The sequence below is a fragment of the Homo sapiens genome, chromosome 12 (genome assembly GCF_000001405.40).
Source record: "Homo sapiens chromosome 12, GRCh38.p14 Primary Assembly".
Classification (NCBI taxonomy): domain Eukaryota; kingdom Metazoa; phylum Chordata; class Mammalia; order Primates; family Hominidae; genus Homo; species Homo sapiens.
Window position 1 is genome coordinate 40356296 of NC_000012.12, and position 24231 is coordinate 40380526.

General features: G+C 33.7%; 1 protein-coding gene and 1 long non-coding RNA gene across 10 annotated transcripts in view; one reads left to right on the plus strand and one right to left on the minus strand.

Moving 5' to 3' along the window:
* LRRK2 (leucine rich repeat kinase 2) overlaps positions 1-12990 on the plus strand; it is a 144289-nt gene extending 131299 nt beyond the window's left edge. For 3 of the 8 annotated variants that reach the window (NM_198578.4, XM_024448833.2, XM_017018787.2), the window contains 5 exons: positions 2965-3149; positions 7107-7259; positions 8547-8755; positions 10711-10782; positions 11349-12990. In NM_198578.4, coding sequence (NP_940980.4) covers positions 2965-3149; positions 7107-7259; positions 8547-8755; positions 10711-10782; positions 11349-11470 — 741 coding nt within the window. In that variant the 3' untranslated portion in view covers positions 11471-12990. Of the gene's footprint in view, positions 1-2964; positions 3150-3452; positions 6890-7106; positions 7260-8546 lie in introns of those variants that run through there. The other 5 variants (XM_005268629.5, XR_007063041.1, XM_011537877.4 and 2 more) reach the window with 5 other exon arrangements.
* LOC105369736 (uncharacterized) overlaps positions 1-24231 on the minus strand; it is an 89145-nt gene that overhangs the window by 1544 nt on the left and 63370 nt on the right. The window contains exon 6 of one of the 2 annotated variants that reach the window (XR_944869.3): positions 15690-15757. The exons of the other annotated variant lie outside the window; for it this stretch is intronic. This is a non-coding gene — a long non-coding RNA (uncharacterized LOC105369736). Of the gene's footprint in view, positions 1-15689; positions 15758-24231 lie in introns of those variants that run through there. 2 annotated transcript variants of the gene reach the window in all.

The window sequence follows — 24231 nt, forward strand, 5'->3', positions numbered from 1 at the left end:
AATTATGCTGTATTTGTATTGCTTCATAAAATCTTGAACACAGTAGATCCTCTGAAAATACTTGCTGATTGACTGTATATTTTATATGAATGAACTAAGAATAAAATGATAAATGACATCTGATTGATAATATTGGGAATGGAAATAATTCAATTTGTACATAACTGAGGCAGATAATTCCTTATAAATATATTGTGGAAAAAAAACAAAAATATACTTAAGTTTTAAATATGGCTTGCCATTAACTTTTTCTTAAGCATTGAAGAAATCATTTAATTTTCTTTTCTTCAGATTCCTATTTAGTCATTAAAGCATTCATTTCTCTATCCATCTATTCATCTTTGGTTCCATCTATTCACTCAACTTCCTACCCGTTCATTCTCCTATTGCCAAAAAGCTTATTATCTGATGAGAGACAGGGAAGTAGAGTATAACCCTTAGGTTATTTCTTTTGTAATTTTTACATGGGAAAAAGAATAGATTGAATGTAACAATAATATTTCGAATATGACCTAAATTTTTTTATGTATAATATTTGTACATATTTATGGGGTACATGTGATATGTTGTTACATGCATAGAATGTGTAATGATCAAGTCAGGGTATTTAGGATATCCATCACCATGAGCATTTATTTCTCTGTGCTGAGAACATTTCAAGTCTCCTAGTTATTTTGAAATGTTTTTAACTGTAGTCACTTTATTGTACTATTGAACATTAGAACTTATTCCTCCTATCTAACTGTATGTTTGTACCCGTTAACCAGCCTCCCTTCATCCTCCCCTTCTCCCACACACCCATATCCTCCCAAGCCTCTGGTAACTATCATTCTACTCTCTACCTCCATGAGATCAACTTTTTTAGCTCCCACATATGAGTGAGTACATGTGATATTTGTCTTTCTGTGCTTGGCTTATTTCACTTAACATAATGACCTCCAGTTCCATCCATGTTGCTGTATATGACATGATTTCATTCCTTTTTATGGTCAAATAGTATTCCGTTATGTAAATACACACATTTTCTTTATGCATTCATTCATTCATGGGTGCTTAGGTTGATTCCACTTTTTTTTTTAGCTATTGTGAATAGTGCTGCGATAAACATGGGGATATAGGAATCCCTTTGATATACTGATTCCCTTTCCTTTAGATTAGTATCAGTAGTAACATTGTTGGATTGTATGGTAGTTCTATTTTTAATTTTTTTGAGAAATCACCATTTTGTTTTCCGTAGTGGCTATAGCAATTTACATACACACCAATAGCATATGGGCATTCGTTTTTTTCCGCATCCTTGCCAGCATGTTATTTTTTGTCTTTTTTATAATAGCCATTCTAATTGGGTGAAGAAGATTTCATTGTGGTTTTCATTTGCATTTTTACTGATGATTAGTTAATGTTGAGCATTTTTTTTCATATATCCATTGGCCATTACTATGTCTTCTTTTGCAAATGTCTATTTAGATCCTTTGCCAACTTTTTGTTTTGTTTTAAGACAGGGTCTTGCTTTCTTACCCAGGCTGGCTCACAGTGGCATGATCATAGCTTGTTGCAGCCTTGACCTTCTGCACTCAAGTGATCCTCCAACATCAGCTTCACGAGTAGCTGGGACTACAGGCGTGTGCTACCATACCTGGCTGTTTATTTTTTGTAGAGATGCGGCTCCACTATGTTGTCCAGACTGATCTCAAACTCCTGGGCTCAAGCAATCCTCCTGCCTCATCTTCTCAAAGTGCTGGGATTACAGGCATGAGCCACCATACCCAGCCCTTTGCCTACTTTTAAATGGAGTTCTTTTTTTTTTTTCCTGTTGAATTGCTTTTTCGAGTTTCTTGTGTATTCTGGATGAATAGTTTGCAAATATTTCCTCACATTTAATGGATCCTCTCTATATTGTTGATAGTTTCCTTTGCTGTGCAGAAGCTTTTTAGTTTATTATAGTCCCATTTGTCTAATTTTGTTTTTGTTGCCTGTGCTTTTGGGATCTTAACCATAAACTCTTTGTCTAGACCAATGTTCTGAAATGTTTCCCCTGTTTCCTTTTAATAGTTTCATAGCTTCTGGTCTTACATTTAAGTCTTTAATCCATCTTGAGTTGAATTTTGTAAATGGTGAGAGAGTGGGGCCTACTTTCATCCTTCTGCATACTGATATCCAGCTTTTCCAGCACAATTTATTGAAGGTGGTATTCTTTCTCCCATGTATGCTTTTGGTGCCTTTGTTGAAAATTAGTTGGCTTTAAATATGTGGGTTTATTTCTGGGTCCTCTACATTGGTCTACCTACCTGTGTTTTTGCCAATACTGTGCTGTTTTGGTTACTCTAGCCTTGTAATATATTTTCAAGTCAGGTAGTGTGATGCCTCCAGCTTTGTTCTTTTTGCTCAGGATTGTTTTGGCTATTTTGGCTCTTTTTCGGTTCCACTCAAGTTTTAGAAATTTTTTTTTCTATTTCTGTGAGAAATATCATTGGAGCTTTCATGGGAATTTCATTGAATCTGTAGATTGCTTTGGGTAGTATGGTCATTTTAACAATATTAATTCTTCCAGTCTGTGAGCATGAATATCTTTCCATTTGTTTGTGTCCTCTTCAATTTCTTTCATGTTTTTCAGGTTTCCTTATAGAGATCGTTCATCATCTTTGTTAAATTTACTCCTAGGTATTTTATTAATTTTTTGTAGCTACTTCAAATGGGATTGCTTTCTTGATTTTTCAGCTACTTTGTTGTTGTTGTTGTATAGATATGCTACTGATTTCTGTATGTTGATTTTGAATCCTTTACTATACTCATTTATCAGAACTAAGAGTTTTTTTTAATGGAATCTTTAGGTTTTTGAGTTTTAATTTTAATATCTCTAATCATTTAAGATGGAAAGTAGTTTTTTGAAAGCACAGATTTTATGGAGTTTTGTTCTGTGGATACTCAATTTGCTGAGTGTGTTTTCTTTTTTTTTTGGCAAAGCTTAAAGGAGCTGCTCCTTTGAAGATACTAAATATAGGAAATGTCAGTACTCCATTGATGTGTTTGAGTGAATCCACAAATTCAACGGAAAGAAATGTAATGTGGGGAGGATGTGGCACAAAGATTTTCTCCTTTTCTAATGATTTCACCATTCAGAAACTCATTGAGACAAGAACAAGCCAACTGTAAGTTATTTTTTATCTGTACAAGTAATTTATCATTATACTTTTGTTTTTTCCTTATAATCATTAATAATACTGTTGATAATTCATAAGGAAGATCTTTTAAAATGCATAATTTATTTTCTATCATAAAATTAAACTTTCATTATAAAAAATTTTGAAAATTCCAGAAAGCAGAAGGGTATTTTTAAGAAGTCACTCAACCTAATCACTTTTAGGGATAAAATATGTAAACTCATTGTAATCTTAGTAGTATTTATCAATCTAAATTTTTTAACAATTTTTATTATCTGTGTTTCAAATTAGACATGAAATTGGAAGACAATCAACTTTGTATTTCACCAAATTCACGGACTATACATATGCAATTTGGGTAACTTCCATTAAGTATTGATTGTAGGAAAGATAGACAGCAAGTATTCTTGCTTGTCCAAAGTTGTTTCTAGATTTGATAATTATACAGATGTCTACTCACAGCCAAGTTAGTGATACCAGTTTCAAACAAGAATAAAATAAAATATTAATATAAACCTCTTTCAAGTTTGCTTTTTTTCAGTGGTATTTTAATCAAATCTTTGCAGTTGGTTCTTATTTATCACATTCCTCAGTGATAAGCAGTATAGGATTGTGGATAAGAGCATAAATCATAGTTCAGATATTGCTTTGCCATCTATTGGTTTTGTGAACTTGGGCAATAACCTTTCACATCTTCAGTCATCTCTTACCTGAGGATTGTAATATTCTCTATCTCAAAGAGATATTTGGAGGAGTAAATAAGAATGTTAATATATGGATCTTAATTAACATAATGACCAGCACCTGGTAAGCTGTCAATAAACATTAGCTATTATTATTATTATTAGCTTTGAGTCACAAATCCCTACCTTAGGGAATATCCTGGTTTCCCATTATCCATCAAATTTCCCAAGATTGGCACTTGGGAGTAATCTTTGACTCCTTTGTTTTTTGCTCCCTTTATCCACTTGACCCTCCTAATTGTCATTTGAATCTTTGTACTTCTCACTGTTCTCAGTGCTGGTACCATGGGCCAGACTGCCATCCATTATCTGTGGCCACATTAACAAGAGCATCCAGTTCTCACCCTCTGATTATACTCTCTTCAACATATTTTCAGCATTGCAGACAGAGGGACCTTTCTAAAATGTACATCAATCTGATGCAATTTTCCTGCTTAAAACCCTTCAGTGGTATCCCATTGTCCTTTATATGAAGTCCAAATTCCTTAAGACAGCCTACTGGGCCCTTCATAATTCAGTGCTTGCTTACCTGTCTAGATTCATATTTTGCAAGCTTTTTGCCATCTGTGCTTTACCCAAACTGAAATTGACTCAGATCTCTAAGACAACCTGTTATTACCTTTCACCCCCAACCTTTGAATGTGGTCTTCTCCTTACCTGGATGACTATTATGCCCCCTGCCTATTTCAGTCCAAGCACCACTTGCTCTGAGTGGCAGGTTAGGTGACTTTGTGCTTCCATTGCATCTAATGTTTTCCTTCACAGTAGCTATAATTGTATTTGTTAAAGTAGTTTCTCAATACCACTAAATCTACTGGCTTTCAACATTGGCTGTGCATTTAGAAACCACTAGGTAGCTGAAAATAATATGATACCTGGGCCCTACCTCAGACCAATTAAATCAGACCAGTTAAGCCTGGGATGGGGATCAGATTTTTTTTTTCAGGTTCTCAAGTGATTCTAAAGTATATTTGAGGTTAAGATATACTGCGGAGTGCAGTGTATTATAAGTTCCCATGAATGAGGATTTTTATTTCTGTCTTTACATATTTATTTACTAGTATGTGGTTAACATTTGGATCAACTCATTCTCATTCTGTAATACCCACATTTTAAAAAATGAATGTAAAAATGTCTTTTATTATTTTTATTTTTCAAATTTAATTTTAGATTCCAGGAATACATGTGCAGGTTTGTTACAAAAGTATAGTGCGTGATGCTGAGGTTTGGAATACAACTGAACTCACAACCCAGAAAGTGGGCATAGTGCTTGATAGGTAGTTTTTCATCTTTGCTCCCCTTCCTGTAATTTCCACTTTTAACCCAATTATACAAGCCTGAAAACCTTTAAAAAGAAAGGGCCTCCAGTTTATTTTTTTATTTCATAGCACATTTTATGGGATTATGGATATCAGTTAACTCTTTAAAGTTCCATATAAGATTTGGAGCATAGATGCTTTACTAGAGAGCATCCATAAAGATCAAGCTCTCAAAGATGCTCATCTCCCAAAAGAGATTGGGACCTAGATGCATAAACACTTAAATATAAATATTTGCTCTCTTCTGAACAAGTATCTCCTGTGGCCTTGGTCTCTACCCCACAAAACAGACATCACATCACTAATCAGGGGTTGCCTCATCATCAGTACCCTCATCATCATCAGTACACACCGACTGAGAGGCATGTTGGGTAATGAAAGATGACTGCCTTTGAAGCCGGAAGACTCCATAGGACTTTTGGAGTTCTAGGTCTGCAACATGTTTTTAGTCCTAGGTCGGCAAGCATGATGTTAGTCATAGGACCTTGAGCAAATTATTTAGCATTTGTACATGTTTCTTTCTACTATTAAAAACATTGAGATTTATCATATTTTATGTTTTTTTATTAAGGATCAAGCAAGATAACACACAAAAGTATTTTATAAAATACGGAAATTCCATGCAAAACTTTGTCCTAATTGGAACTATTTTCTATTAAATACAGCAAATATCCAAGAAGGAATTACCTAAAGCGTAGTGGCTCTCTGACAACACATCATATTTTTACCTCCTTTTCCAGAATAGAAAGAAAAGGGGGAGGAAAAAAAATCTTCCTACTCTAGGATATACTAATGATTGTTAAATCTTTATGGTATTTTCATGTTATCTATCTGATTTAAATGCAATTTTGACTATTTTTACATATTCCTCGTTGTTCATTCATACTGTAGTGCCTTCTTCTATTCCCCCACTTAACAGACTGCTTGATTATATCAGAGGTGCTTATCTGTGCAACTGTTTACTGGACGAGGGGTATGTAGAAAATACATTGTCCTCATCCTTATGAAATTACACTCATAATCTAGTGTGAGGGATGCACTAATAAAGACAATTTTATATTTAATAAGGTCTATAATATGACAGTGACACCAGTGGGGAAAAGGGACTGGTTGGTCTATTTTGATAGGTCAGGGAAGAAATCCAGAGGAGCCGACATTTAAGTTCATCCTCAAAGGCCAAGTAGGAGTTTGCCATGCTGATGTGGCCCAAGGTAGCCAATCTGTTTGTGAAATATGTACAATGCCAGATGTCTTAGGTTGAAAGGGAAATATTTTAAGGTGTTCGTAATTTTTCTTTATGTTTAAAAGGGGAAAATGGCAAATATTTTACTTTCTGTTTATGTTTGGATGATGTGGATTTTTGTTTTCTATAATTTGACTGGCTTAACTGCAAAGATATCCCTTGCTTTAAAATTTGAAGACACTGCAACTAAATTTTATTTCAGCATTTTATATTTTATAACTCTAGGTATAAAAGGCTAACACTTAATTTTCTGAGCATTCATGAAACAAAGTTTTGCAAGAACATTCAAAAGTTACAGATATAATATTTCCTTCAGAAATTTAGATATAGTACAAAATTCTACAAAGAGCCACATAGAATTGAAACTAAAAGTAAGACCAAAGTAAACATTGGACATAATCTTTATTTTATTATCACAAGAAATTAATATAAAGTAACCAAAAGTAAGTAAAGTACCAAAGCATGTTATATATTCAATTCAGAATGGTTAGGGAAGAATATGAAATAATTGCAATAGTCTAGCTTGTTTAGTTTTCAAAATAGTGTTTTTACATTAAGAACTAATATAAGGTTGTATTACACGTAGAAATTTTAAGAAGAAAACAAATAGTGATGACTTTCTATTTTTTTTTCTCTGTAGGTTTTCTTATGCAGCTTTCAGTGATTCCAACATCATAACAGTGGTGGTAGACACTGCTCTCTATATTGCTAAGCAAAATAGCCCTGTTGTGGAAGTGTGGGATAAGAAAACTGAAAAACTCTGTGGACTAATAGACTGCGTGCACTTTTTAAGGTAAATTCTGTGGTTTTTAATTTTATTCCCAAAAGAATTATCTTTGCACTTCATGTGTCACAGAGGAAGGATTTTTCTTCCTTTCTGCCTCTGAATAGAGAATTTTTTTAAAATGCAGAAAAAAATTTGTAATGCTTCTCAGCACCATCTTTTCAGATCAAGAAAATTTTGTCTTCAGAACATAAAAGAATAGGCACATAATGTGCATAGTTTTCTCATGGTATTACAAAGAATGTTCTCGAATGAAAATACTACATTATTGAAAATGAGCATATTGGAGTCTCTGCTAGCTTTGACATAGTTCTGTCACAGTGTCAAATATACTATTTATAATTAAATTATGGGCCCCAGGATTATCTGCTCTAAAGAAAAAGAGTCACAAAATAATAGACAAATATGGGGGGAAATGCAATGGACTGACCGAGGCGCTAAGGAGTGGGGATCAAGACCCCAGAATGAGAGCATAGTGCTTAGTCTGATGCAGCCTGTGAGTGACAAATCCATAGCAAGCACATTCTTTCTGTGCTGGTGCTGAGAAACAGGACCATTTTCAAGCTTATTTGCTAGCCACTTTATATTTTTATTTTGTTTTGATTTTACCATATAGATCTATGATACTCTTGAGAACATTTTAGATTACACACTATATCTGTAAAAGGATACTTCAAAGTTTCCTGTCTTAGATTCATCTGACAGTTTTTCTATGGATTGTGAGAAGGGCTCACAGTTTATGTTCAGAAGGGCCAACAGGTCTCCTTGATAAAGGGTTCCTTACTTCCTGAAGTACCAAAACGATTAGGATTCTTTTATTTCTGGACACTTCATTTTTGTCATGAATTAGACTATTCACTGGTTCTGGGAAAAAATTCAGTGGTTTGTATCGATATCTTTTACATGTGAATGACTATAATTTTATGTTCCTTTGTAACATTGAGACTTCATGTAAAACTTTTGACTCTAACTTTTTTTTTTCTTTATCCTGGGCACATGTATGCTATTTTTACTGAATTAGATAGCTTTGGTATTTATAAAAATTGTATCCCTCTTATTCATAATTTCCTGAAAATGAAGGGCTATTGTTATCTTTGATAATTTATGCTTCAAGTAAAGAAGTGTGGCTCTTTGGCATCTGTATTTAGCAAAATTTGCTTTGTATAATTTTAATGATGCATAATGGTGGTGGTGTCATGTTTTAATAATTTAAAATGTTGTTTATGTTATCATATGTAAATAGCATTTATCTCTTAATTGGTGGTAAAATTATTAATGTATACTTTATGGTTCTAGGGAGGTAATGGTAAAAGAAAACAAGGAATCAAAACACAAAATGTCTTATTCTGGGAGAGTGAAAACCCTCTGCCTTCAGAAGAACACTGCTCTTTGGATAGGAACTGGAGGAGGCCATATTTTACTCCTGGATCTTTCAACTCGTCGACTTATACGTGTAATTTACAACTTTTGTAATTCGGTCAGAGTCATGATGACAGCACAGCTAGGCAAGTTTCTTTCCTTTAGATATTTTTCATATTCTCTAAGTCTTATAAAATATGCCTTTATTTTACGTTTACATTTTCTCTGAACTTTCCAGTGTCATATGGATGGTCTTGGAGGGTCACACAGTGAAACATAAGACTGGTATAAATTGTGAATAGGGTCATTACAGAAGTGGAGGGAGTAAATGCTCTCAGTCCCACAAGAGAAGCAGATTACTGCAGCTGAACACTCAGTTTGGGTCTTACTTGCTTTTTTCCTTTTTACCTAAGGCAAAAATGGGAAATACATGGTATTGAATATATTTTACTTTTTGAGCAAAGAAAATAAAGAAAATGTTTGTTTTAATCATAGTCTAGCCTCCCAGCTTGTTAAAGAATCTCATTTGGTTTTTCATTCTATAACAAATCTTTTTTCTTGCAGCAATACATGCTGAACTGCACAACCTACAAATATTGACAAATCATATTTTACTCAAACTTTGTCTTTTTTTGCTTCTATTTTTATATTTAAATATGATAAAATTGTGATAGCACATAAAATATATTTTCTGCATAAATATATTTGCGTCTTCCTTTGATAATAATTTGTTTTAGAAAATAACAATAATAGCATATATACAAAAGTTTACAAAAACGACACTATGGGGTTTAATTCTGAAAAAAACTAGAATTTATGTAACTTTAGCAAATAATGAATGTTTTGAACATGGTGAAGAAAATATATTCATTGCAAGTATATGTGAAAGAGGAACATGTGTTTTTCTAGCACCTTCACCTATTTTTCATTTATAGACTTTAGAGTTGCACAGGAGTTACAATTAGATGCTCTTAATGACTGTAAACTATTAAGATACATGTCCACACAAGCAGAGCAGTAGGTCTCTCAATAGGTTGTCTCAGTAGTCTTATTCTACCAAAGTTGTTGCATTCTCTAGTTGAATTGTATGTACTTTGGGACCCAAATAGCTTGCTTATAACTGAAGTTATAGTGGAATGTCTATGGGTTATAGTTTGATTTTAAAATAAAGATCAATTGGAGGATAGCCTACAAGGTGCTGCATGAGCTGGCTTCACTGTACCTCTCCTGCCTCCATCATCTACCACATTCCTACCAGATCTTGCTTGTCTAGATGAACATCCAGTTCTTCTCAATTACTATGCTATATTTTGCCTCAGGGATTTGCACATGCTGTTTATTTCTTTGCTTAGTTAACATAGCTTTTTTTCATGCTTATTTAACTCATATGCTTTGAAATGTTAGCTCCTGTGTCAAAACCTCTGAGAAGCCAACACTGATTAGGTCAAAGTTCCCGCTTTGGGTTCCCATAACAGCTTTCTTGCATAGTTTTGATCATGGTCATATTTTTTTTTCATTAATGCTAGTCTCTTCACTAGAATATAAACTCCAAGACGGTTGGGTTAGTGTGTTTTTGTTTACCCCTTTTTTCCCAGGATCTAGCCTAGGGCCTACATAGAAGACTTTTGATGCAAATTTGTTGAATAAATTAGTGAATGATTTGAAAAGAAAATATGATATTTTGACATAGTATCAGTATATCCATCCATCTAAGTGTCCATCTAAATACTCATATTTGTACTAAATACTCATATTTGTACCTTACCATATCCAAAGAACTTTTCACACACATTACCTCGTTTAACATTGTAACTTTGGGAAGGGTAATGTATAAATACTGAGCCTATTTTATAGAAAGGTTAAGCTGTTTTCTCAGACTCACATAATTAAGAATTGCAGCAAGGAGTGGATCACAGATTTTGTTATTTTTTAAAAAAATGCTGGTCTTTATTCAATATAATTGAAGGGTCACCTAGAAAATAGAATTGTGAATTCAGTTCCAAGGTATTTGTGTCTTAAACTATGAACAACTTTACTTTTTTTTCAGGCCAGTTTAATATATAGTTTTAACAGAAAACTTACATATTTTGTTTTTGTAAAGGAAGCCTTAAAAATGTCATGCTGGTATTGGGCTACAACCGGAAAAATACTGAAGGTACACAAAAGCAGAAAGGTAACATTTAGAAGGATACTGTTTTCCAAACAGGGCAATGATGTGAATGATGGTAACATATTATGTGTTTCATAAATTTGTAGAAAATATTACATATGGTATAATCAGGAATTTTAATTGGTAGTTTATAGTGTAAAGAACTTAGACATAAATTTTCAAAATTACAAGTGATATGAAGTGTTAAATATTTATATTTTCAGCTGAAGTAGAGGTGTCAATCACTAGCTCAACCTTAAACGAAATGTGAATATTTTTTACAACTTATCTATATCTACATAATGTCTAATTTTGAACAGTGTTTGAAAAAGCTTTTATTTCTTTTAGAATATGAAATGTTAATTTATTAAATGTTGATACTCTATTTGAAATTTAATAGTTTCTATAATGTATTATAAAACTTTTCCAAGTATAGTTTTTTATAAATAATAATTTAGTACATTAGTTATAGCTGTGTTTATATTTACATTTATCTAAGTCAACTAAAAATACATGAGCCAAACTGAAATAAAATAAGAATGTTTTATGATGGATCTTTGAAACATGATTTCATTTTTTTCTTTTTCTAGAGATACAATCTTGCTTGACCGTTTGGGACATCAATCTTCCACATGAAGTGCAAAATTTAGAAAAACACATTGAAGTGAGAAAAGAATTAGCTGAAAAAATGAGACGAACATCTGTTGAGTAAGAGAGAAATAGGAATTGTCTTTGGATAGGAAAATTATTCTCTCCTCTTGTAAATATTTATTTTAAAAATGTTCACATGGAAAGGGTACTCACATTTTTTGAAATAGCTCGTGTGTATGAAGGAATGTTATTATTTTTAATTTAAATATATGTAAAAATACTTACCAGTAAATGTGTATTTTAAAGAACTATTTAAAACACAATGTTATATTTCTTATAAATACCAGTTACTTTCGTTCATTAATTAATGAAAATAAATCTGTGAAGTACCTAATTTAAGTACTCATACTAAAATTTATAAGGCCGATAATTTTTTGTTTTCTTGTCTGTAATGGAGGTAAACTTTATTTTAAATTCTGTGCTTAAGACAGGACTATTGCTTGTCGATTTTTCTAGAAATCTGCACGGTATAATGAAAATATTAAGACAGTTTCCCATGTAATGTATTCCTTCTTAGATTGCATCGAAATGCACTATCATATATGCTTGTAAATATTCAAATGAATTTGCACTAATAAAGTCCTTTGTTGGTATGTGAATTCTCTTTGTTGCTGTTGCAAACAGTGCATCTTACACAACTTCACTCAATTCAAAAGAAAACTCCATTAAAAGTACTAATGAAAAAACATGACATACTGTCAAAGTCCTCATATCTAGGAAAGACACAGAAACTCTCTTTGTCACAGAAACTCTCTGTGTCTTTCCTAGACATAATAGAGTTGTTTTTCAACTCTATGTTTGAATGTGGATACCCTGAATTTTGTATAATTAGTGTAAATACAGTGTTCAGTCCTTCAAGTGATATTTTTATTTTTTTATTCATACCACTAGCTACTTGTTTTCTAATCTGCTTCATTCTAATGCTTATATTCATCTTTTCCCTAAATTTGTGATGCTGCAGATCCTACATCATTCAGATAGAAACCTTTTTTTTTTTCAGAATTATAGAATTCCACAGCTCCTACCAAGACCATGAGGATAAATATCTAACACTTTTCAGTTGCTGAAGGAGAAAGGAGCTTTAGTTATGATGGATAAAAATATCTGCCACCCTAGGCTTCCAAATTATACTTAAATTGTTTACATAGCTTACCACAATAGGAGTATCAGGGCCAAATACCTATGTAATAATTTGAGGTCATTTCTGCTTTAGGAAAAGTACTTTCGGTAAATTCTTTGGCCCTGACCAGTATTCATTATTTCAGATAATTCCCTGTGATAGGACAACTAGTACATTTAATATTCTCAGAACTTATGGCATTTTACTATGTGAAAACTTTAAATTTATTTATATTAAGGGTAATCAAATTCTTAAAGATGAAAGATTTTCTGTATTTTAAAGGAAGCTATGCTTTAACTTGTTATGTAATTAACAAAAAAATCATATATAATAGAGCTCTTTGTTCCAGTGTTATCTCTTTCATTGTTACTTTGTATTTGCAATTTTTTTTACCAAAGACAAATTAAAAAAATGAATACCATATTTAAATGGAATAATAAAGGTTTTTTAAAAACTTTAAATGCTTTTAAGCATGTTTATGAATTTTTAAACTTTGTGATAGTGTTTTGCTTTTCACATATAGGTCTGTTATCCATCTCATAGGAAACTTTGTATTAATTTGTATATGGGACATTCCACAATAAGAAAGTGCAACTAAAGTTTTTTCCTTGATAACTTATGGAATATTTAAATTTAATTTTCTATAATACATATAGTTGCCAGGATCCCAGGACAAAATCTGATGGGCATGATACATTCTATTTTCAAGTTCTCTTAAAAAGTTTTTGTAAGTAAACTTGTTTGCTCTTGAGTACTGAAACAAAATATAAGACTTTAGAGCAAATGACATATACAAAAAAAAGGCACAGTCACTTCAACTGTTTTCTGATTAGAAGCCTAAAATAACTTGCTAATTATGATCAAAATACAAGCATATTATCGTAACAAAATATTCTTTTGGGAAAATTTTGAATTAAGAAAAGGGAGCCTCTTTGACTCTAATTCTGGTAGGTACTCTATCGATTATGTGTGAACTATTTCAACTAAAACGCAACTTATTTTTCATCAAGGCAGTGAAATATATTGATGAAACATAGCAGAATTACCAAAAAAAGATTGTCAATTTTCCTAAGTTAAATGTAAGGATGCAAATGTTCTAATATTGAGGGGAGATAAAATTCAAAACCATTGGGACTTTGCTTCTTTATCCATCACTTTGGGTAGCTGAACACCTAACCTGGTAAATTGAATGTTTTTCATGGAGGCTTATCAGCAATTCAGTAAAATAGTAAACTATGTCAACTCGGGAGAAACTGACATCCTCATTCTCCATGCTAGCCAGTTTCTCATCCAGGGTGTCATTGTTTCTAATAACAATTCAGAATCTGGCTGCTTAAAGGCACCTACGTACGTGGTTCTTTCTAATTTGTCAAGGCATTTGGAGTGATCCTATCACCCTGATTTCAAGCAAAAGACAGGGAGGCACCTGACCCAAAGGCCTGCTGTCTGAACACACTCTGAATGGGTGAGCAGAGATGTGCTTTAAGATAGAACCTAAGGTGGTTCTCTCTATGTGCTGCCCTCACACTGCTCTTGATTTCTACCCTTACCTGGGAAGTCTCTACTTGATGTCTGTCTTAGGCTAAGAAAAAGAGAAGAGAAAGGGAATGAGTATTAGCATCTGGATTCTGGGGCTGCTTCTTGGCCTCTGTGAGAATCCACTGTTTCACAGCAATCACAGCCTAGAAAACTAGACTTTATGGAGTAAACAATAGGTATCATTCTGACCTGGGCTTCACCACAATCACCCACTGAACACTCCCAAGAGAAGGTTGTTACCATTTATTTATGAAAATACCAAACTATGTGATACATACTCTATTAGAAGTATTATGGAAAAATAGAGAATATGTCTACCTGGCCAGAGAATAGAGGATCTGGATCACAAAAAAAGTACAAATATTTAAGCAGAGACTTAGGACAAATGGGCATTCAACAATTTAGGACACATGGGCATTCTACAATTTCCAGAGTGAAGTAAACATTCTAGGCAGATAAATCACACATGTGCTGTCTTAGGAATGTGAGCTTATTTTGAAAGCATCCCTATCAAATACGTGCTAAAACTTGTGACAAGTTCCCATTCCTAGAGTACTTACAGGATACACTTAAGTGACTGAAGATGCAAGAGAAATATATATTTGTGTATGGATATAGCATTTTATCATTAATTGAGAGATTATAAAGCTAATGAGCTTTTCTTTGCAGAGGGAGTATTTGTTAGGATGAAATGGGGAGAGATGTTTCAAACACCAAGTTTATCTTATAGGTTAAGAAATCCTAGAAGGAATCCATGACTTTATGTATATATACAATATATGACAAGAGATTTCCCCATCTCATTACAAAATGAGCACAAAGTAACTAACTCAAAGCTTTTGCTATTATGATAAAAGTTTAAAAGGCTAGTACATAGCAGAAATGTGATTTACTATAACGGGGGTCCAGGGGATAAAATATTTGCAAGCTGATTGTCTCATGTTGGCAATGTTTTCATTTCCTACTACGTTAGGTAACACAGATGAGATTGTACATCAGAGTAAGAAGGCAACCACTAATAGAAGCTGCATGCGGGCAAAAGACTATTCTCTGACCATAAGCTTAGTTTAGATGGATCCTTGCTGCAATCACTAAATTCATAAATCTGTGCTAGTATTGGATCAGGAAATCTCTGCACAAGCAGATAAATAAAAACTTTCTGCTTTGGCTGAAATAACTGCTTTTAGGAAAAGAAAGAGTATATGCTTATTAATATAGCTTGGGATGTGGACCTCTTTGACGAGACTATACAATTCAAGGTAGACAAAGTATGCCTAAAAATAAATCTAAAATAAACTTGTATATTCAAATGGAACATATTCTTTAATAATGTCATTTTTAAGGGCTCTGCATTTATTCCATAAATGCTGCCATTATTGTTCAGTTTTTCTTAATTACCTGCATTCACTTTAGAAAACAGAAAAAAAAAAAAAAAAAAAAAAAACAGAAACAGTTGCAAAAGAAAGCAGCCAGAAAGAACATACATTTAGAATTGAAAAAGACCTTGGTCTAAATTCTAGATTTGGCATTTACTTAGTAATCTGAACTGGAGCAAGTTGCACAAATGACCAGAGAATCATCTTTTTTTTCTGTAAAATGGCAAGAGTAGTATACCCACCTTCTAGAAGGATGAGTGTAAATTAAGGAATTGTGCAATTAATTCCCAGGCAAGTCACACACAAGCACCACCTTATGAGGGAATTCATATTAGAAATCAGTGTCACTAAAAATACTTTTCTCTAATAAAGCACACATTACTATACATTTTGGATCTTTGGAAGTTGCTCCTGGAAACTACTAATAATAAGTTCAAGGTGCCAAGGGGTTTAATCTAATTTACCAAACAATTAAAGTGTGAAAAGAAACTACTATCAAGATATTGACTCATTACATTATGTTTTTATGCTTTTAGTGAAAGCCACGGCCAGATACAGCTAGAAAAATGATCTCTGCCCTCATGATGTCCTTATGATTGCCTTCTCATCTGTTTCCATTGTCACTTACTGATCTACATTTCTATACTACATGGGTCTAAATTTCATTTCAGCCTGTAACATCAAGAGGATTTTGTAGTAGGAAACCTAAGTGGTAGTTGCAAAGATTTATCAGGGGTTTTCAGTCTGCAATTACTAAAATAAACACATTAAGTTCATCTCTATTAACAGTATTAATTACAGATGTGCTTCATTTGCTAGTATGAAGAGCAGTGCAATGGATAACATCTATGATTTTTTCTTTAAACAATTCACTCCAATGAATTGCCTGAAGCTCTTGATTTCTGGATAGTACACATCATCCATTCTGAGTGGGATAATGTTTTGTGCAATAAGAAGGAGAGTGAGTTTGCTCTTTTTGTTGATTTTGATGGATGGGGTGGGAGAAAAGAGCAATACTGAGGTTGAAGATCACTGGGTGACAACTCTTCTGCTACAGCCAGAATTATTTTTTTGATGTAACTTACACACATTGCAAACAACCTCTATTTTCCTTTGTGCTCCTCCCTTCCCCACCTACAATATAGAATTTTACTATTTATCCATTTCATGTCCACTCTGTCTAACATTACTAACTAGTACAATGCATGTAAGACATAATTATATGTGAGAATAAAATTTCACATTAAAAACCATCTACACATTTCTGATAATTTTGGACAGTTCTTTATTCTTAGAGTGGAAAATTATAAAATAATTGAGAACATTTTAGTTTTGTGTGTCATTGTCCTTAGGTAAAGCTGGCAGTATCTTTGGCTCTCAATAAACTGCGTGTTTAGCAAGAAGGATTTTATTTTAAAGATAAATGTTTTTGCCACATACGATAGAATATCTTCATTGTTATGTACTTATTTCAAAAGTAAACATAAGTGGTACCAATATGTTGTAATACCATAAGTTAAATATTGTGTTAAGCTTTTAGGTAAATTCAGTCACCTCTTCTCTAAATGCTCTCAGTGATTTTATACACTTTGGTCTTCCATAAAGATAATTAGTATGTGTCAATTACTGAGAAATAAGCTGTCCTTCATCCACGGGCTGCTGACATTTTGCTTTTTACTTCTTCCTTTTGTGTTACTGACTTTCTTTAAAGAAAATGGTTTTCCAGGTGTTATTTTCTAAATGTCATCACATAAACTGAGGCATAAATTATTTAATTTCTCTCTCAAATAACTTTTATGCTTTCAAGGTAATGTAAACAGGAAGAAGGAAAACACATAATTTGAAACACTGACTGAAGAAGATTTTTATAGCACAACTATAAATTATGGAAAATGAGAAGAAACAGTCAACCTAAATCTTTAATCACTAATTGGAATCTTGTGTATCAAAAACTGATGCAAAAAATCTCCCTTGCAAATCTACACAAGCAGAAGAATTAATCCTTTTTTTTTTTCTTTTTTCATCTTGTGAGTCAGAATCAAACACATCATAGAGGTTAGGGACATGGGCCCTGGGCTGTTGGGCCTGGCCCCCTCTCTTATGCCACTTTGTTGCTCAATCTTTCTTTGTACAAATGTCCTCATATACAAAAAGATATAAAAATACTACCACAGACAGCTGTTGTGAGGAGCATGTTGTTCTCAGATTCTCCTTATACCCAAGCCTAAAAGGACTTTTAGGTGCTTTCTATTTGTTGATAAGAAAAAGGAGAGTTTTAAAGTTTGAAGCTGGTAGGTGGAACCAATATTCTGGTGATTATTCACTGAACTGATTTACTTGAGTGAGTGAAAGATTAAGGTCCCTGGATTATAAAGCAGTGACCAGGAAAGCTGGTAATTTGGCATCCTATCAAACTCATACTTTGTGTTTAGCATTTGTTTAGTGGGAGCTGGGAGAAACTGACTTTGTGTTAATAAAAATAATATGAAAACAAATTGGCTTTTGTTTCATTTCCAGTAACAAGTTAATGATTTGGAGAAGTCCACCTCCTGAAAACTAAAAAGGTTAGCTTAAAAGGAAAGGAAGAACATTAAAATGAACATCTAAAATTACCAAAGATCTGATGAGATGGTATGGAACTATATGGCCAAAATCAAAGTGAAGGTGGGAACACAAAGATATAAGCAGAACACCAAAGCTGTGTTTTCTTGTGAGCATTTGCTTAACCTGGTAAATCTGACCTTTAGTTTCCCCAGCCTTGAAAGGATCAGATCACATCTCAAGGTCAGGAGTCAAATACATGGGTATTTCCATTAGGCTGGGGCACCAAAGGGATACAAGTCAGTGTGACAATCAGAAGCAAAACCGTCCACCTTCTACTCACTGACAAGACCCAGAGAAGGCTCATAAGCAATTCCTCCTGGAGTTGCTCAAATTCACATCATGTATGTTATTTTTTTAAAAAAAATTACTGAAGCTTTTAATTAAATGAAAATTTTAGACAGAGAAGACCTCAAGCAAGGAAGTTTATCAGGGAAAAGAAGGGTGTTGTGTAATGATAGAAGTGTCTTTATACCCACGTAGACCAGTTGTTAGATGGGGGATGCCTGAAGAAGGCAGAGTGAGCTTGGGCATGGTCACATTTTCAGCAGAGGTATTTCTAGGAGAGGGCTGTAAGGTAAGTTGACAACCTTCCCAGTGGCTGGGGAAAATGAGTTCCTTCAGGTGTGGGTGGCACTGAACAGTATTTATGAAAGAAAACTCAATAAATAAATTAATAAATGCATGTGTAAATAATTGCCTTGGTGAAGGCATTTATTGATTCTAGTGAAATTGAGATGAGGTTTCAAAGGACTTAAGGTATATGTGGAATAGAAGACATAAAACGTGGAGATACTAATTACAGATTGACTCTTCAGTAAAAGCTGAAACCCAAAATAACTACAGTCGTGTGCTGCATAACGTGTTGGTCAATGATGGACTGCATATACAATGGTGGTACCATAAGATTATAATGAAGATGAAAAATTCCTGCCCCCTAGTGACATAGCATTGTAGCACAACGTGTAACTCACTTGCCTGTGGTGATGCTGGCATAAACAAACCTACTGTACTGCCAGTCGTATTAAAGTTTAGCACCTACAATTATGTGCATTACCTAAGACTTGATAATAAACGTGATATTACTGGTTTATATATTTACTACAGTATACTTTTAATCATTATTTTACAGTGTATTCTTTCTCTCTTTTTTTTGAGACAGGGTCTCATTCTGTCACCCAGGCTGGAGTGCAGTGGCGTGATCTCGGCTCACTGCAACCTCCACCTCCTGGGTTCAAGGGATTCTCCTGCCTCAGCCTCTTGAGTAACTGGATTTGCAAGCATGCACCACCATGTTCGACTAATTTTTGTATTTTTAGTAGAGATGGGGTTTCACCATGTTGGTTGGGCTGGCCTCAAACTCCTGACCTCAAGTGATCTGCCTGCCTCGACTCCCAAAATGCTGGGATTACAGACATGAGCCACCACACAGTGCCTGGCCTATTTTAGAGTGTACTTCATATATATATATATATATACACACACACACACACACACACATATAAATATATACACAGCTTCATTATAATCTTATGGGACCTCCATTGTATATGCAGTCCATCATTGACCAAAACATTATATATATATATATACACACACACACACATATATACACATATATATGTGTATATATATGTATATATATAGATATATAAAGTTAACTGTAAAACAGCCTCAGGCAGATCCTTCAGGAGTTGTCCCAGAAGGCAGTACTCTAGGCTATGGTTTGTGTTTGTGTTAGTTTTTAACCAAAAAGTTAAAAAAAAATTAAAATAGACAAAAGCTTATAGAATAAGAATCTAAGGAAAAATATTTTTACAGCTGTAAAATATGTTTCTGTTTTAAGCTAAGTGTTTTTACAAAAGAATCAAAAAGTTTTAAAATTAAAAAGTTTATAAAGAAAAAAGTTACGGTAAGCTAAGTTTAATTTATTATTTAAGGGGAAAAAAATAGGATGGGTGCAGTGGCTCACACTTCTAAGTCCAACACTTTGGGAGGCTTAGAAAAGAGGATTTCTTGAGTCCAGGAGTTCGTGACCAGCCTTGGCAACAAGGTGAAACCTCATCTCTACCGATAATGCAAGACATTAGCTGAGTGTGTTGGCACAGGCCTGTAGTCCCAGCTACTTGGGAGACTGAGGTGGGAGGACTGCTTATGGCCAGGAGGTGAAGGGCAAAGGTTGCAGTGAACTGTGATTGTGACTCCAGCCTGGATGACAGAGCAGGACTCTGTCTCCAAAAATAAAAATGGAAAGAAAAAAGAAAAAAAATTGTTTTAAAATACATTTAGTGTAACCTAAGTATACAATGTTTATAAGGCCTACAGTAGTGTACAATAATTTCCTAGGCCTTCACATTCACTCACCACTCACTCACCGACTCACCCAGAGCAACTTTCAGTTCTGCAAGCTCCATTTATGGTAAGTGCCCTATACTGGCGTACCATATTTAATCTTTGATATCATATTTTTACTGTACCTTTTCTATGTTTAGATATGCTTAGACACACAAATACCAGTGTGTTACAATTGCGTATAGTATTCAGTACAGTAACACGCTGTATTGATTTGCAGCTTAGGAGCAAAAGCTTATTCCATATAGCCTAAGTGTGTAGTAACTTATACCTTCTAGATTTGTGTAAGTACGCTCTATGATCTTTGCACAAAGATGGATTTGCCTAATGACACATTTCTCAGAAAGTGCCCTTGTTGTTAAGTGATGCATAACTGCTATTCTTAGAATGGTAGACCAGATTTCACCCATGCCACACTTTTACAGTCCCTCACTGCACAAAGTAAAATAGTCTTGGTGTTGAGCATAGCAAGGTGGTAAGAAAAGCATCTGAGTCATTGTAACTCTGAAGTCACAAGAGATTTACAGGTCAAATTTATATCACAGATGTTTCTAAAAACATTGAGAGGTTTATTATTGAAAGTAGTTCCATTAGTAGTTAGGTGCCTGGGATAAGAAAATCTAAATCTTCTCTAATGAAATATATATTTATCCTATTAATATTTCTCAAATAATATGCTTTCTAAAGACAATAAGCAGTGTACAATGTACAGTTCAAATAAATGAAGCTTAAGAGAAAAATGACGACGTGAAAGAGATGCTTCAGGATCAACTAAGAGCAGAAAAAAAACAGCTAAGAGTCCAAATACCAGAAGGTGAAACATAGGATCTGAAATAAAGACACATTTGAACATTTCTTCAGCGGGCAGGAAGCTATAAATATGATTAAGGGGATTTGAAAAAGAGTCAAGTAGAACTTCTAAAAAGAAAAAATATAATATGTATAATTTAAAATATCATATATGGAGTTCATAGCATTTTAGATACAGATGAAGGAAAAATTAATTAACTGGAAGATAAGGCAAAAAGGATTTTCTAGAATGCAACATGGACAGAAACAGAGATGAACAATGTAAACCAAATAGTCAAGACTCTTCAAGGTGGAGTAATAATGTCTAACTTATGTCTGATTGGAATGCCAGAGAAGGGGAATATAGAGGAGAAATATGTTTGAAGAGATAATGACTAGGATATAACTAGAACTGATGAAAGATACCAATTTGCATACATACAAGAAACTGAGACTCCAAATAAAGATAAATTAGGACATCCCCACATTGACACACTAAAGTGAAAATGCAGAAAATAAAAAGAAAAGGCATGGATGACTCCCACAAAAAATGTTGGGTGAGAGAAACACAATGCAAAGAATTTATATAGTATGCTTCCATTCACATAAAATTAAAAATCAAAACTGAACTCGATTGTTTAAGGATGTATAAATATAAGTGGTAAAATTATAAGGTAAGTAAGAAAATGAAAAATAGAAACATTAAGAGAGTGGTTATTTCTATAAAGAAGGGAAAGAATTACAATTGAGAAGTAGGCAGGTAGAGGATTCTGAGATGCTGGAAAATGTTCTATTTCCTGACCTAGCTGGTGGGTAAATGGGTATTTCTTGTATAATAATTCCTTAAAATATAATTTTATGTTTTACATATTTATTTAGTACATTATGTCTCTAAATTTAAAGATGAAACAAACTAATTTACTTTCACTGAATGAACTAAAATTGTCCTGAAAACATTTGATAATACATTTCCCAAATGTCTGAGCTTCTCATCTCAGTTTTAGTTGTTGATTTTCTCCAGCCTGTCAACTAGAGCATATGGTTTAATAAATATAAATGATTCACAGATAATGAAAAAAGCCATTCATTTCCACTTAACATTGCTACATCATGCCTTTTCAGTTTTAACATCAAAATTAAGACTATACATTCAATAAAATTGTGAGATTTTAAGCTTAGATTGTTGGGTACAGAGATATACTGAGAAGTAAAGAAGAGCAGCAGGTCTGGTGCAGATAATTATTTAAAGTTTGACATATGTATTTAAACTTCTTATAAAACATACAGATGGAAATATTCAATAGATGGTTGTGAATACTGATCCAAAACTCAGAAGAGACTGGGGGGTCAGAAGCAGATTTGTAAGTCATCTGTTGAGAGGCCATCTGTATTTGTTTGCTAGGACTGCCAAAACCACAGACTGGATGGCTTAAACACTGAAATTTATTTTGGCTAGAAGTCTGAGATCAAGGTATTGGCAGTGTTGGCTCCTTCTGAGGGTTGTAAGGGAACTATTGTTCCAGGCCTCTCTCCTTGGCTTGTAGGTGGCTGTCTTCTTCCTGTGTCTTCACATCGTCTTCCCCCTGCACCTGTCTTTGTCCAGACTTTCTCTTCTTATAAGGCACCAATCTATTGGATTAGGGTTCACCCTAATGGCCTTACTTTAATTTAATTATTTCCTTAAAGATCCTATCCACAAACAGGGTTATATTCTGAGGTACTAGGGATTACGACTTCAACATAGGAATTTTTTCAATGTACAAGGAAATTTAGCCCATAACACTATCAATTAAAACCTGAGACAAGATGACCTGGCCAATGTGCAGAGCACATTGAGAAAAGAGAGCTCTGAAAAAAGCCATATTCAGAAGAGTTAGAAGAGGACAGAGGCTGAGAAGGAGATAGTTTAAAGAGATAATCAGTGAAGTAAAAAATGGCAGAACATTCAATGAGGATCTATCTGGACTTAGTAAAGCAAATGAACTTGATGAAGCTATACGTGGTGACCACTGATAGAACAGAGTTTACAGAGTGGGAAGGAGTGGAAGGCTGAATGAAGTGCATAAAGGAGTACATCTAAAAAGGCACAATGAGAATGGAAAGACAGTAATGAATGTTAAGAAGTAGAAGAGGAGATGTAGAAAGAAGGAGCTGATATAATAACTGTGTGGGTGATTGTGCAGGACAAATGATAGAGTGACCATTAAAATATGGCTTATGATTGAGCACAAGAAATCATTTCAATGATACAAATGCAGACAGAAGACGCAGGTATAGAACTTTTGTCAGGAATACAGCTTACTATAGAGACCTATTTACCAGGGGAAGGCCAGTGTTCAAATTCCTCTTAAAATGTTATTAAGGGGAGTTCATATGACAACTGCAAGTATCAATACCACCATAATATTCTATTCAGAACACTGACAAAATTTCTCATGTATGCTTTTTTAAAATCACTATCCGAAAGTCCATTCCAACATTGTGAGTTTCTTCTGCATACTAAATACTACTCTAGGAAAATGCTGAAAAGTTAAATTGGAGGAGATAAATCACTTTAGAAAATTATTTATTGTTTACATCTAATAACATTATTTATGTTTTACATAATTATGTTAATTTAAATAATATTTATTTTAAAATTTAATTGTACTTTTACTTCTCTTGGAATGAAACTTTCCATATAACAAAAATTTTTTAGATTTTCAGACAATCCATTTTCAAATGTAATTTCAGCTCATAATATATAGAAAATGGGGAGCTTCTTTTCCACAATCCAAATAGATATTATTTAGCATTTTCTGTATTTTCTCCTAGTACAAACATTTCATAAAAACAAACTGATTTACAGGGAGGGGAACAACATATACTGGGCCTGTTGGGGGGCGGAGGGAGGGAGAGCATTAAGATAAATAGCTAATACCTAGGTGATGGGTTGAGAGGTGCAGCAAACCACCATGGCACACATGTACCTATGTAATAAACCTACACATCCTGCACATGTATCCAGGAACTTAAAATAAAATAAAATTAAATTAAAATTGCCTT